The sequence below is a fragment of the Homo sapiens genome, chromosome 8, assembly GCF_000001405.40.
Source record: "Homo sapiens chromosome 8, GRCh38.p14 Primary Assembly".
NCBI lineage: Eukaryota > Metazoa > Chordata > Mammalia > Primates > Hominidae > Homo > Homo sapiens.
Genome location: NC_000008.11, coordinates 2,266,065 through 2,281,545, shown reverse-complemented (window position 1 = coordinate 2,281,545; position 15,481 = coordinate 2,266,065). Strand labels below are relative to the sequence as shown.

General features: G+C 45.5%; 2 annotated features.

Moving 5' to 3' along the window:
• Positions 2,615-2,792: a silencer, noted in NCBI's record as "fragment chr8:2224809-2224986 (GRCh37/hg19 assembly coordinates)". NCBI's record gives its function as "represses an EF-1alpha promoter that drives an FKBP-Casp9 reporter gene in an ReSE screen in phorbol 12-myristate 13-acetate-treated (for megakaryocytic differentiation) K562 erythroleukemia cells {active_cell/tissue: K562(+PMA)}" and the evidence as "EXISTENCE:reporter gene assay evidence [ECO:0000049][PMID:32094911]".
• Positions 14,619-15,173: an enhancer, noted in NCBI's record as "H3K4me1 hESC enhancer chr8:2212147-2212701 (GRCh37/hg19 assembly coordinates)". NCBI's record gives its function as "activates a minimal SCP1, AML or CMV promoter by ChIP-STARR-seq in primed H9 embryonic stem cells {active_cell/tissue: H9 hESC(primed)}" and the evidence as "EXISTENCE:reporter gene assay evidence [ECO:0000049][PMID:30033119]".

The following is a 15,481-nucleotide window of genomic DNA, read 5'->3' as shown; positions in this document are numbered from 1 at the left end:
TACAATGGGTATAAATCAGAAAAGAGCAGGGACTGTACCTCTTTCTTCCACATTCCTCCTACGTCTGTTTTATGTCCTATTATACAGCTGGAAAAAGCTGATGAATTAAACTGGACTTGCAGCCCCAGAGCGTGACGTCACATCCAGGAGGCCATCAGTAGCAGGCCTTTGTTGAGCTGCTGAAAAGGAATTCTCCTGTAACTGGAAGCAAGTAGGAGAAATTTCCCGTTCCTTCCCACGCTACAGCATCACATATGGGAAAAGCTAACATCAAGAATGGCCTGGGATGTGCAGAATCTTCCAGTTCTTCATCCTCAGTGCCTGACTGTCGACAGTCCCACAGATTCACAGCCATGGGTGCAGGGGAAGCTTACTCTTTTTTGAACATAGGTTAGAAAAGCAGGAGCACATTTCTAAACAACTGGCTCCTTTCCAAAATGCATTAAGGCCAGAAGAATGCAAAGTATGAAGTCAAGAAAAACTCTAGCCCAACTGAGATCATCTGTGACATTCTTTAGAAGAGTTAGAGGGACATCCATGTTAAATGGAACAAAAACATTAAGTAAGAGATCCATCAACCCCACTTCTGGGTGTTAAAGATTTGAAATCAATGGGTCCAAGAGATATCTGCACTCCTAAGTTCATTGCAGCATGATTCACAATAGCCAAGTTATGAAATCAGTCTAAGTGTCCATTAAGGGACAAATGGATAAGGAAACTGTAGTTTATACACACAATGGAGTATTATCCAGCCCCTAAAAAGAAAAGAAATTCTGTTATTTGTGACAACATGGATGGAATTGTAGAACATTATGCTGAGTGAAATAAGCCAAACGCAGAAAGACAAGCACAGCATATCCTCACTTACTTGTGGAATTAAAACAATTGAACTCGGAGCAGCAGAGAGGGGAATGGTGGCTGCAGAGGCTGACGCCTGGGAAAACACAGACATGACAGTCAAAGACACAAAGCTTCAGTGAGATCAGAGGAAAAGTCTGATATTTTTTAGATCCATAGCACAGCATGCTGAATACATTCTAAATTGTCTATAAAGCGCATAACACCACTTTTTACCCATAAGTACATACAACTATAATTCGTCAATATACAACACATATTTGTTTTTAAATATTAAACACTAAGAGCTCTTTCCAACCTTTTCCTTGTAATCACCAAAAGTCAGGCTGAATTGCTTCATGGTTGTAAGGCACTCTCACATTTACTATTGCATTGGGAAATTAAAGAGCACAGAAGGGGCTCCTTCATTTAATTTCTCAACAGATTTGTCGTAGTAGGGAGCAACGTCTATAAAGATGGTACACTATCAGAAATGTCTTCAGAACGTCCTGAACAAACGTGACCTTCAGAAGTCATTGATGAAAGTATGCTGCCCTAAATCCTTAATCCAGAAGCTGGGTGGGAGTGGAGCATCTCCTTGGGATCAGGGGTGTCCGGGTGGGAGAAGAGCACCTCCTTGGGATTTTCTCTGCCTCATTTCTCAAGGGGGCACAAATGGAAGTTTCACAATTGGAGCCACTGTTAAATAAAGAAATGGAGGAGAAGGAAGTGGAGGAGGAGAGGGAAATGGGGAAGAAGAATTGACTGAAGACAGAATAGTTGGAATACCCTTGAGAAAGCAATATTTATTTCCACAGGAGTTATTTTAGTCAAAACTATGTTTGAACCAATTGCTCATTGAGTAGGTATCAGACGTTGTGTCAAACACTTTCCTGGGCCAGGCGCAGTGACTCACACCTGTAATCTCAGCACTTTGGGAGGCCCAGGCGGGTGGATCACTTAAGGCCAGGAGTTGAGGATCCACTTAGGCAACATAGTAAGACCCCATCTCTACAAAACATATGAAAATTAGCAGGACTTGGAGGTGTGCACCTGTGGTCCCTGTTTGTTGGGAGGCTGAGGTGAGAGGATTCCTTGAGCCTAGGAGTTCGAGGCTGCAGTGAGCAATGATTGTGCCACTACATTCCAGCCTGAGTGACAGAATGAGACCCTGTCTCCAAAAAATAAAAAACACTTTCCTATATCTTGTCTCACTAAATCCAACATACCAAACAATTCTCCAGAGGACACCAGCTGGGTGTCCTGTAATTCAACTTCACTCTGACCCTGTCTACCTAGAGAGAGGATCAGATCCCACGGGTTAAAGGACCCTGTCCCATAAGACGGTCCCCACGTCAGATACCAGCCACCACGCTTCTGACTGAATGGCCGCAAATCGGGCTCCCAGCACCCCCTTCTTGAGGTCAATTCATTTGCTAGAGCAGCTCACAGAACTCAGCAAAACACTATACTTACATTTGATGGTTTGTTAATAAGGTTATAATAAAGGACACAGAAGAACAGGCAGATGAAGCGATGGAGAGAGCGGGGTCTTGAAGGTCCCAAGCACAGGAGCATCTGGCCCCATGGAGTTGGGGTGCTCCACCCTCCTGCCATGCAGCTGTGCTCAGCAGCTTCTTAAGTGTTTTTATTTGGTTTTCTCTGTTTCTTTATTTTTTGAGACAGGGACTTTCTGTGTCACCCAGGATGTAGTGTAGTGACACGATCATAACTCACTGCAGTGCCAACCTCTTGGGCTCGAGTGACCCTCCCACTTTAGCTTCTGGAACTATAGGTGTGCAATAGGTGGCTTTTTTTTTTTAAAGTTTTTGTAGAACTGGGGTCTCACTATGTTGCCCCGGCTGGTCTTGAACTCCTAGACTCAAGCGATCCTCTTGCCTCAACCTCCCAAAGTGCTGGTATTAAAGGCATGAGCCACCACATCCAGCTAATTTTTGTTTGTTTGTTTGTTTGTAGAGATGGGGTCTCTCCATATTGCCCAGGCTTGAAAACTCCAAACTTCTAATCACGGCTTGGTCTTTCTGGTGACCAGGCCCATCTAGGAGCCACCAAGAGTTGCTTCATGAGAACAAAAGACGTTCCTCTCACTCAGAAAATTCCGAGGGTTGTAGAGCTCTGTGCCAGGAACTGGGGGGCAGAGATCAAGTATAGATTTCTTATTGTATCACAGCAGCCCTCTGGGGTCCCTTCTATAAGGGCACTAATCCCACGACCTAATCACCCCCAAGTCCCTCTCCTAGTACCATCACTTTGGTGATTAAGATTCAACATGGAATCTGGGGGTGACACAAACCCTCAGACCATAGCAAGTTGTCGCCATCTTATTAATGTATTTTAAATGTTAACATTTTGTCACGCTCCAAACATTTTGCTCTGTTGGCTCCCTGATGGGAAAGCCCATGCTTGGGGACCCTCCCCCAGCTCTTCCTGTGCCCATGTCCCGCTGGGGACCCTGTCACATCCACACTGCCAAGACTCTGGGGGGCCGAGTCTTCCAAGAGCTGGGCAGAACAAAAGCACATTGGACTCAAGAATGGGGAGTCAGTCCCTGGGCCCGGCACTCACAGCGCCCTCTGTCCTCGTCTCCTTTACTGCTCAGGTCATCCAGCTGTCCCCAGAGCGCATGCCCTCTTCGAGGACAAGACCCCCACTATAGACCCTAGGCCAAACTGAACAAGTGCTTTTCATATGGATACAGATTTATGTTACTTACTCTAAAATTGTTTAGAGCTCATGATTTGTTATAGTTTTTTTTTTTTTTTTTGTCTTTTTTGAGGTGGAGTCTTGCTCTGTTGCCCAGGCTGGAGTGCAGATGCCTGATCTCGGCTCACTGCAACCTCCACCTCCTGGGTTCAAGCAATTCTCCTGCCTCAGTCTCCCAAGTAGCTGGGACTACAGGCACCGGCCACCATGACTGGTTAATTTTTGTATTTTTTTTTAGTAGAGACAGGGTCTTACTATGTTGCCCAGGTGGATCCTGAACTCCTGGCCTCAAGTAATCCACCTGCCTGGGCCTCCCAAAGTGCTGAGATTATAGGCGTGAGCCACCATGCCCGGCCTTAAGTATTTTTTACAAGTACAATGACAATAATGAAATTTTACCTGGGATTTCACCTGAGAATTCTCCAAAAGTTTACTGCCTCTTTTCCCTTATTTCTTAGAGTGGAGATGACACCCTCACGTTATGTTATACAGCGGTGAGTAAGATGTGCTTCATTGTTAGGATGGAGTGGTATTCAGTACATATCATTTATTTTCTTATTTTTGTTTTTTGAGACAGGGTCTCGCTCTGTTGCCCAGGCTGGAGTGTAGTGGCACCATCACACCTCACTGAAGCCTCAACCTCGTGGGCTCAAGCTATCCTTCCTCCTCAGCCTCCTGAGTAGCTGAGACTACGGGCGAGTGCCACCACGCCCAGCTAATTTTTGTATTTTTTGTAAAGGTGAAGTGTGTTTTTTTTTTTTTTTTTTTTGACAGAGTGTTGCTTGTCACCAAGGCTGGAGTGCAGGGGTGCAATCTTGGCTCACCACAACCTTCGCCTCCTGGGTTCAAACGATTATCATGCCTCAGCTTCCCGAGTAGCTGGGATTACAGGTGTGTGCCACCACACGCAGCTGGTTTTTGTACTTTTAGTAGAGATGGGGTTTAACCATGTTGGTCAGGCTGGTCAAAACTCCTGATCTCAGGTGATCCATCCGCCTCGGCCTCCCACAGTGCTGGGGTTACACCCATGAGCCAACACGCCCGGCCAGACAGGCCATTTCCATGATGCCCAGGCTGGCCTTGAACCCCTGGGTTCGAGCAAACTGCCAGCCTCAGTCTCCCAATGTCCTAGGATTACAGGCGTGAACCACTGCTCCCAGCCAGTATACGTAATTTAAATGTTTTACAATTAATTATTTAAATTAAATGATTTAAACAAAATTATTCGAATGATGTAAACACCCTAGAAATAAATCCGGGTATTAAGAAGGAAGAATCACGTTCCAAGGGAAAAGGAGCTAATATTAATCCAAAACATTTGGTGCACTATACATAGTTATTTAGTATATTTACTAGATGTAGTGTGTATAAATAGTCACCAGATAGGTAGGTAAAGACAGAAAGGGAGATTGAATTAACATTACTTTTAGAAGTCAACCGGAGCTACTCAGGAAAGGCCCAGCACTAACATAAAGGGATGAATCGGCCAGGCTGGCCAGTAGGGGATAGCGAAGACTGTGGCAAAACCAAGTGTATGCCTAGCCAACATCATGTTCAGGTTACTTCTCAAACCAGCCAGCACCTAAACCACACGCCTCTGTGGGCTGACAATACATATTTGGGCCAGATGAGGCCTGCAGACGGTCAGCCCCTAAAGAGATGTCTGGTGAGGAAGCTATTTTGAGCTGAGACTGGACAGCTGAGAAGTGTTAGGGACTCATTAACACTTCCCAACCTAAACAACAGTTTAATTCAAGCTGGACAGAGCTGAGACATGGGCAGGCCTGAAGCAGAGTGAATGAGAGATGGAGAAAAGGCTGTTTATAACAATTAAGGTAGAACCCACAGAAGCATTTATAAGCTTTGGAAATAAGGGTTTTAAAACTATTGCCCTGGTAGGTACTTTTTACATCATGTAAGTAAACCCTAAAATGGCCAACATATCTAGGTTTAAAGAGCAATATTAAAAAAGCTTATTTTCTCCATTTTCCCTGCAAGAGATAATCCTAAACATCCATTGTATCAAGCTAGTCAGTCTCTACCTTGAACGTGGTTGCAACTGTAGGTGGCACAGATAACGACGTTTGGAAGAATTAAGTGATTTTGTATTAAAAAGCCCTTATTTCTGAATATATATGGGATATTTTGGAAAGAGGTATACACATGGATTTCTTTTTAATTGGAGATTAGATGTTTAATCATACTCTCAAAATGATCCATGTAGACCAAAATGTGAAGTTGTGCTGGTCTATAGCGGTGTTTTCCAGCTCTGGATCTCCCTGCAACAGCAGCCTCATGACCCGCGAGTTAATCAGAAACAGAACGAGCGGATCCACCCGCCCAGCGAATCAGCCTCTGTGGGGCGAGGCCGGGGGCTGAGGACAGGCTCTCCAGGTGAGTGACCCAACGCGGCTAAAATATATGACCTGCGGTCCTGGCTGCACATCCTCAGAGACTTCTCAGTGAAGTAATTTGGTACAGATTTTAGGAAAAGATATTTATGTTGTCTTTACTAACCAGAACCAGTTTAAATACAGTCTTTTAGAAGGAGAGGAAACAGAATCCATCCTATTTTTCCAGAGGTAACTTTTGTGTGTGTGTGACTCACATCTGTTTTCTGTTTCCCATTCGGAAAGTGTCTCCAGGGTAGTGGCCTGCACCCTATGAGCATGTCCACTAACCAAATGAACGAGAGGTATTCAATCACTTAGGTTAGTTAAAGTCTGTGTGATTCCCCAAGGTTTAGCTCACGGGTGAAAGGGCACATGCTTTCAATGAGATCTAAAGTTTTTGGCAAGTTGATCGTAAGCCCGAGAGACCCCATGGTTCAAACGCAAGCACATGTGTAGGGCACACACATACACATAGCTGTGGAAGCTTCGTGGATGCACTTTCTCCATCTGCATTTTCCGGAATTTCCCTGCATCACATAGTGAAGGGGAAACCAGATGTGCAGAAAAGGTTCTCCTCGGGAGGCGAAGGCAAACAGAGCTGTCCTGTTTGCTCCCCACTGAAGCCACTTACACATAACTCTGTAGTCCATAGTCAACAAGATGACTCCAAGGGGAAGGAGGGAGGAGGAAAGGAAAAAGTCAAGGCAGAGGAGATTAGCTTGGCAACACACAGCCGAGCATCCATCCATATTCTGTATCATATTATCCCGCCTGCTACACAAGTACCTCACAGCAGATAGCACTGACTGCCTGACTACACACGCCAGGGGCATGTTGCTGGATAGCTGTGCTTTTTCTCCATGTCTGCTTACATTTAATCTTCAAATCACTTATACACAGATTTATATACACAAATGCACATATACACATATACATAAACACACCTGTGCAGGTATACACACAAGGACGTATACATGATAAAGTCTAGTTGAACTACATTAATCATGGGTACATGCATGTACATACATGCACACATAAGTACATGCTAGAATCCACTTATGCTGATTACATTAATCATGGGTGTATTAGTCCGTTTCCACACTGCTATAAAAAATGCCCGAGACTCGGTAATTTATAAAGGAAGATGGTTTATTTGACTCATAGTTCCACATGGCTGGGGAGGCCTCAGGAAACTTACAATCATGGCAGAAGGTGAAAGGGAAGCAAGGCACCTTACTCACAGGGTGGCAGGAGAGAGAAATGCAAGCAGGGGAAATGCTAGACGCTCATGAAATCACCAGATCTCATGAGACTCACTCATCATCACAAGAACAGCATGGCGGAAACCACCTCCACGATCCAATCACCTCCCTCCCTCGGCATGTGGGGATTGCAATTCAAGATGAAATTTGAGTGGGCCACAGAGCTAAACCATATCAATGGGTATATGTGAGTACATAGACACACACACACACACACACACATGCACAGACATGCTAGAGTCCAGCTACACTGATTACATTAATACATTAATCACGGGTGTATGCGTGTGTGTGTATATATACATATATATATATATGTATATATACACACACTATGACATGCTAGAGTCCAGTTACACTGATTACATTGACCATGGGTGTACGCGTGTACATATATACATACACAAGGACATGCTAGAGTCTAATTACACTGATTATATTAACCATGGTGTATGCCTGTACATATATATACACACACAAGGACAAACTAGAATCTAGTTACACTGATTATATTAACCATGGTGTATTCCTGTACATAGATACAAACACAAGGACATGCTAGAATCTAGTTACACTGATTATATTAAGCATGGTGTATTCCTGTACATAGATACACACACAAGGACATGCTAGGGTCCAGTGACACTGATCACATTAATCAAGCTTCAACGCACCCTCTAAAGTCAGTATTACCCACACCAAATGTTAAATGTCATATTTCAACAATATAACAAAATTCTCAGACAAAATGTATCCAAACCTCAAAACCATGCTCTTTCCACCCAAAGTACTACCTCCTCTGTGGATACCCTTGATATACTTTATATTCTTTTTTTTTTTTTTCCATTTCAGGGTTAATTATACTTGTTAGGCACATTTTTACTTTTTGTTACACATAAAAATGTTTGTAAATAGATAAAAATTTAAATTTCAGAAAGCTACTCCTGCCTGGACGAGGCTATCTGAAGCACACATGGATCGTTGGCGGGTTCCAAAGGGCAGTATTTGGGGCAAATGGAATAAACTCTCTAAGCTAGTTCAGCCTGAGCTGGTGGTGTGGAGTAAGACTTTGGGAAATGTGAGGGACGTCCCCTCCAGGGAGCAGGATAGACAGATGTAGGGAGCAGAGGGAGGACATCACAGCAGATCCAGAGGCTGATGTTGTCTTGTAATGAAATAAAACTGGAGACGGACTAGGGGCTTCAAATCAACGAAGAGGAGCCTGAGATGAAGACTCATGGTATGAAATTTGGGAGAAAACAGCAAAAGGCCAGTTGAGGACGCATTCCACAACCACGTGCCCAGTGGCATGGAAGAGCAGATGTCTGAGGTCATGGCATTCTCCCTCTGCACCACCCCAAAGGCCTGCTGCCACAACTGATGCATTCTCTCTCCACCCCCGCAGACATCACCAGTACATTCCTGACAAAAAGCAATATATTTTTACTCTGCAGATGACAAATGTCTCCACTGCCATTTTCTCGCTGTTTTCACGCGTACAGAGACCCACAAGCCCGCCAAATGAGGACGGCTGGAAAGATTTTCCTCTGCAGATTAGAAATTAAGTCTTGGGTTTCTTTTGTAATAGGCAGGCACAGCCACATTACCATTGTATTTGGCTTTTGCGGGAGGTTAAAGTTATTGACAATGAACTGTTTAAACATGTGTGCAAGCTGCTTTATGGAGCGCCTTTAACGAGAAAGGATGGAGAGGGAGCCTGTGCGAAAGCCGCCCTTACAGATTAGGAGAATCAGAAAACCTACGTCACCCCGTGGCATTCACTGCAAGTGAGGCCCAGCGCGATGGTAGGGAGAGAGTTTTCCATTTTAAAGTTAGTTAAGGAAGAAGAATCATGACTTTTTCGGCAAATCTGAATTTTTAGAGAGGTAAGCCTCCTCACTGGAAGGACCCAGGATGGATGATGTTTCTAAGAAGGGTTTCCCTGGGGCCTTCTCACTTCACGCCAGCCTCCCCATTCAAGCCAGGGCCTGCCTGAGCAATGCAGGACCTCAGAAGCAGAGAAGCCCCTCCATGCCACAAACCCCATGCCCTCATTAGAGAAACGGACAAACCCCATGCCCTCGTTAGAGACATGGGCAGCATCCCTTGCGCACGCTAGTCAAAGCTCCAAAATACTTTAAACATGGGGACCAAGACCAACAGACAACAAGGAGATGCTATCACCCAATGGGCTCCTTAAAGGATCCTCCTCCACTTCCCATGGAAATACTAAGACACCTGTCCTCCCACTGTCATCCGTGAAGTGCCATGTTTGTTTTAGGGGTGAAGAAACTGAAGCCAGGAAAGGTCCTGCCACCTTACTGAGTGGTTGCTTACGGAGAGAATCTCAGATCTTCCGATGGGTCCAGGGGCTGCTGTGTCCTGAATGCTTCAGCCCTTGATACCTAGTGTACGGGAAAGGTCGGACCAAATAGAGAGCACCCTGCCCCGCCCATAACAGAATATATAAAACATCTCCAAGTTTAGGAAAGCTGCCTGGAAGACGAGCCTCACGCATCAAATGACAGCCGGCAGCTCTGTCACATCCCAGACCCAATACAATGCCCAGCTTGTGTCAGCAGCTTGCAGAAGTGTGTGGATGGGACTCCAAATGGTTCGTACCAAGGAGAGAAAAGCATCTGAGGTTTCCAAAAAATATTTCCTTATCTTCAAATATGTTTGCTTTTGTTTTTTTTTTTTTGTTTTTTTTTTGAGACAGTGTCTCACTCTGTCGCCCAGGCTGGAGTGCAGTGACGCAATCTCGGCTCACTGCAAGCTCCACCTCCCAGGTTCACCCCATTCTCCTGCCTCAGCCTCCCAAGTAGCTGGGACTACAGGCGCCCGCCCCCACGCCCAGCTAATTTCTTGTATTTTTAGTAGAGACAGGGTTTCACAGTGTTAGCCAGGATGGTCTCGATCTCCTGACCTCGTGATCTGCCTACCTCGGCCTCCCAAAGTGCTGGGATTACAGGCGTGAGCCACAGTGCCCGGCCCAAACATGGTTTTTAAGAAAATTGGTTTAATGCAATTATCAGTGTGATGTCTGGGAATCTGAGATTGCCATGGACACACACAGACACATGCTCATATGCACACTCATACACACAGATATGTGAAAACACACACCACACTCACACACACTCATGTACGTTGCTGGAATGGGCATCTGCTTTATTTGCATTGAGGAACTCTCTTACACTGAAAAAGGCTGAAGAAAAGAAATTACAACAAAACATATATATTCCTAGATTTTACTGTAGCTTTGTACATAGTAGAGTTGTTACCACTGGAAATGTCCCAGCTACATAGCATTTGCACTTTACATTGGACACACAGATCTTTCTCTGCAAAAGAATGATGACTTAATTAACAAGGGTGATAAATTTACCAAAGTTTGTATTTGTGTCACCTCAAAATCTAGGTCTTGATGGATCCCTTTGAAGTTGTCTGCTCAATTAATAAGCAAAACTAGGCACACAAGATTCAGAATGCCATTGTGAAGCCATGTGCCCTACAAAAGTTCAAGCTCATTTGCAGCTTAGAATAGAGAAAGAAAATTGAAGGCGTATCTCTGCAAATTGGCAACACCCCTTCTAGAATTTAGGATATGTCCTTTAATACGAAGAAACTGGCAGTTGCGACGCTCCCCATCAACATGAAATTCAGTGAAACACAGGCTGTCTCAGGGCAGCAAGGCGACACCACCGAGGCATCCCAACCCTGTTAACCATTTGTGGAAACTGCTAGGCTGTTACCATCCACATGGCGAAGCGACCCTGCCGAGAGCATCCCTGACTCAAAGGCTGGGGGAGGCCTGGCCCAGAACACCTGCTGCTGATGCTTTAACCCGTCTGTTCGGTTGTGTTGTTCAGGGATGAAGACCCACAGGTTTTTTAATTATTGAATTCTGCATCTGACGGCGTTGATTCATAATGAAAAACAGCCAGCACGCCTTCAGTGCCTCCACCAAGCTCTCTGCTGCGTGCTGGAGGCGCTTTACCTGGTAAATCCTCAACATACCTCATGAGAGAGGTCACTTTACTCCCCCAGTCCTACAGAAAGCCCTCTGCTGCCTTCTGGAGGCGCTTTGCCTGATAAATTTTTGCAATAACTTATGAATGAGGTCACATTACTTTTCCACCCATAGAGGAAGCACTTAGCTGTATTCCAGAGATGCTGGTAAATCCTCCCAGTACCCCATGAGTTAGATCGCATTACTCCCCCAGACCTACAGCAAGCCCTCTGCTGCATTCTGGAGGCGCTTTGCCTGGTAGATCCTCCCAACACCCCACGAGGTCGCATTACTCCCCCAGACCTACAGCAAGCCCTCTGCTGCCTTCTGGAGGCGCTTTGCCTGGTAGATCCTCCCAACACCCCACGAGGTCACATTACTCCCCCAGACCTACAGAAAGCCCTCTGCTGCCTTCTGGAGGCGCTTTACCTGGTAGATCCTCCCAACACCCCACGAGGTCGCATTACTCCCCCAGACCTACAGCAAGCCCTCTGCTGCCTTCTGGAGGCGCTTTGCCTGGTAGATCCTCCCAACACCCCACGAGGTCACACTGCTCCCCCAGACCTACAGCAAGCCCTCTGCTGCCTTCTGGAGGCGCTTTGCCTGGTAAATTTTTGCAATAACTTATGAATGAGGTCACATTACTTTTCCACCCATAGAGGAAGCACTTAGCTGCATTCCGGAGATGCTGGTAAATCCTCCCAATACCCCATGAGTTAAATCGCATTACTCCCCCAGACCTACAGCAAGCCCTCTGCTGCCTTCTGGAGGCGCTTTACCTGGTAGATCCTCGTCACACCTTGTGAATGGGGTCACATTTCTCCCCCAGTCTTACAGCAAGTGCTCTGTCGCATTTTGGAGGCTCTTTGCCTGGTAAATCCTCGCGAGAGCTCGTGAGTGAGGTCACGTGACTCCCCTAGTCCTACAGCAGGCTAAATTGAGGCTTAAAGTCTCTTCCCCAAAGCAAAGAAATTAGGATTTAAATCAAAATTGAAGTTCCCAGAAGACATCTTCAAGAACCACGCAATCAGAGAAGGGTCCAAGAACCATGAAATAAACCCAGACACCTCTGAGATGATTGGTCGGGGATAGGTCACGGTCTCAAGGCATCAACTTTTGAAGAAGTTTTGCCAAGAGGAGAAAGGGGGGAAAATATCTCTTTAAAAAAAAAGTCACTTAAAAAAATTTTTAAGACGAGGATACCTGAAAACAATAAGAGCAGAGGGAGCTATTCATGATGAGAACATCTGAGGCTAATTATTCACTCAGGTCTACACCTGCAGGTGCCATCTAGTTTAATGCTATTTAAAGTGTCTCTTCTTTTAGTCAAGATATGATGCAACTCAATGGATGCAGAAGGTTGTACCAGGCAAGATCACTCTTCGTTTGAAGAAGTGGTGGCTGAGGTTGGAGTTCGTCTTTCCCCTGCAATTAGAATTCTTCAAACACGTTACATAAAAAAGCAAAAATTTTTTTTTTTTTTAAGGCAGAGTCTTGCTCTGTCACTCAGGCTGGAGTGCAGTGGTGCAAGCTCAGCTCACTGCAACCTCCGCCTCCCAGGTTCCAGCGATTTCCTGCCTCAGCCTCCCGAGTAGCTGGGATTACAGGCACCCACCACCACACCCTGCTAATTTTTTGTATTTTTAGTAGAGACGGGGTTTCACTGTCTTGGCCAGGCTGGTCTCAAACTCCTAACTTCAAGTGATCCACCAGTCTTGGCCTCCCAAAGTGCTGGGATTACAGGCGTGAGCCACCACGCCTGGCCCGCAAAATTCTTTCAAAAGTTGTTTTGGAACAAACGACCTCAAAATTGAAGCAGAAACACGTGTTGTTTTTCTTACTAACTTAGACAAGATAAAGGAGCAGTGGATGGAAGCAGGAGCTCTGAGGCTGAAGAATAAAGGACAAGGTGTGGTGTGAACTAACTTGGGGGAGTCCTGTATAGTTCTGGAGTTTATTGATGAATCCTCCTATCCCGATTAAGAAAATACAACCGATAGACACTCTGATCCTGATGGCTACCACCAACTGTGGTAAAGCTACATCTTCAGCATCGACTGCCATCAGAACAAAACCCTGACGTGGTCTCAATGCCGAAGGCTACACATGCACGCGAGCTCAGAGGCCACCACTCTACCTCAGAATCCACTGTGAGGCAAAACCAAAGGCGAGTTTCACTGGAATTTCTTGAGTTCATGTTTCAAGAAGTGGCCACCCCTCTATTTTCTGAAAAATGTGAGACACTTTTCTTTGTAAAATTGCATGTAAGTATGTTTCTGTGATGGCTATGATGACAATTTAAGGCAAGTAATGATATGCAAAATTAAGTGTATTTTATATTTAAGAATATTGCATCTGATTCTTAAAGTGGCTAGCACTATGGAAATATTAAGAAGAGAGCTTGGCTGAGGGCTCAATATTAAATATCAGGGTTATCTGCAGGAGACAGGCAAAGGGAGAGAAGCTATTCCAAATGTCCTCTTACCCAGAAGACTTCAAATGTCCTCCTACACAAAAGACTCCAAATGGCCTCTTACCCAGAAGACTCCAAATGTCCTCCTACCCAGAAGACTCCAAATGTCCTCTTACCCAGAAGATTCCAAATGTCTTCCTACCTGGAAGACTCCAAGTATCCTCCTACTGAGACCGTTTTATTCTTTCTCAATTATCTCTGACCACTGCAAACTCTTCAAGGAGCTGATCAATACAAATGCCTTCAGAAGCTTCAGGGTGGAGTACACCACGACTTCACCACACATTTAAAAGGAAGCCATTAGGATAAGAATTAATCTACTTGAACTTTTTTATTCAGCCTAATTCTCAGAAATTTATATTCACCATGAGATTTGTAAAATACTTATAAGCAGCATGCAGAATGTGTACAATTACACCCTATGTGTGGCTCTGATCAAGGGCGAGCGTGCAGGAGAGTGGCCATAGCAAAGTCTTAGAAAATCACAATCTCCACGTTTGCTCCTTATCCCCACCCCTAGGTACACTTCTTCTTTGAATCCTCTTTTCCTAAGGAAAGATGTTAAATTCCACAATTAAGTCATTCCCATTAAGCTGTAGAATCATTAAGTAGAGTTCAAGTTAATCTTTTGTCTCTATGTTGAGGCATAGAACAGGGAACGTTTCATTCTTTGGGAACAATAATAATTATACGTTAAACATTTTTAAATAGGATATATTGTATTGACTCACAATGCATGATCAGATTTTTAAAAATTATTTCTCTCTGAGAGAAAAGAACTTTAAGCCTCCCAAGAGTTAATCAATTCATACACGTAAACTGCAGCGTGCTAATTCTCCATGGCGATCCCTCTGTCTTCCTGTCTCCCCCTCACTCTTTCTCACTCTGTCTCCCTCCCTCCACACCTCACCCCTAGACTCTTGCTACCCAAGGCAGAGCATGCAGCAGCAGCAGTAGCATCACCTAGGAGCAGGTGAGTTGGAAATACAGATTCTCAAGCCCCACCCAAACTTGCTGAATCCGAGCACGCATTTGGCAAGGCCCGCAGAGGATTTTCGTGGGCATTACTATTTAAGAAGCAGTGTTGTAGACTACATATTTTTCACCCTTTTGCTAGGTCCCGAGCTACCCACAATCTGCAAAATCAAAGGGGAGACGGCGGCGGACGTGCAGAGCCTCCGAGAGCCGGGTGAGGGCGCTGTCCCCGCGTCTGAGGCTTCCTGGAGCTGAAGCCAGTGGTTTCCACCCCCGAGGTGCCACCGTTTCCGGCCCAGGAACGCTGAGACCTTCGCGCTCCCCTCGCGTCACAGCCAAGTGTAACTGTAAGAAGCAGTGAGTCCGGAAACGAACAGCCAGGCCTTGGAAGCCTCTCGCATGTGTGGGAACGTCCGCCTTTGCTACAGGCGTGATTTTTCATGTGACTCAGTACAAGGGAGGGGACACGCGACATCCCTTAATCCTTCACTAAACCCAAAGTTAGGGTTCTTGCCTGTAGATTTCCACAGAATATAGCACCAAGAACGTTCTCTATGTCTGGATGGAGGACAATGTCATCAGCGGGCCACTGGGACCACCTCAGCCCCAGGCAAGGCCCAAGCCTGCCTGCTCCAGCCGCCCGTGGTCCTCCGCAGCCAGGACCTGCTTTCTGGGCTGGCTTCACCCCCCACCACTTCCACAGCCCAGCGGTGCCCTCCAGGCTCCACCGTCACATCGCATGTGTGTTCCCTGCGCTGCTGAGGGACAGCTCACTGGGTCTTCCTGTTTCAAATTCTTGGGGACT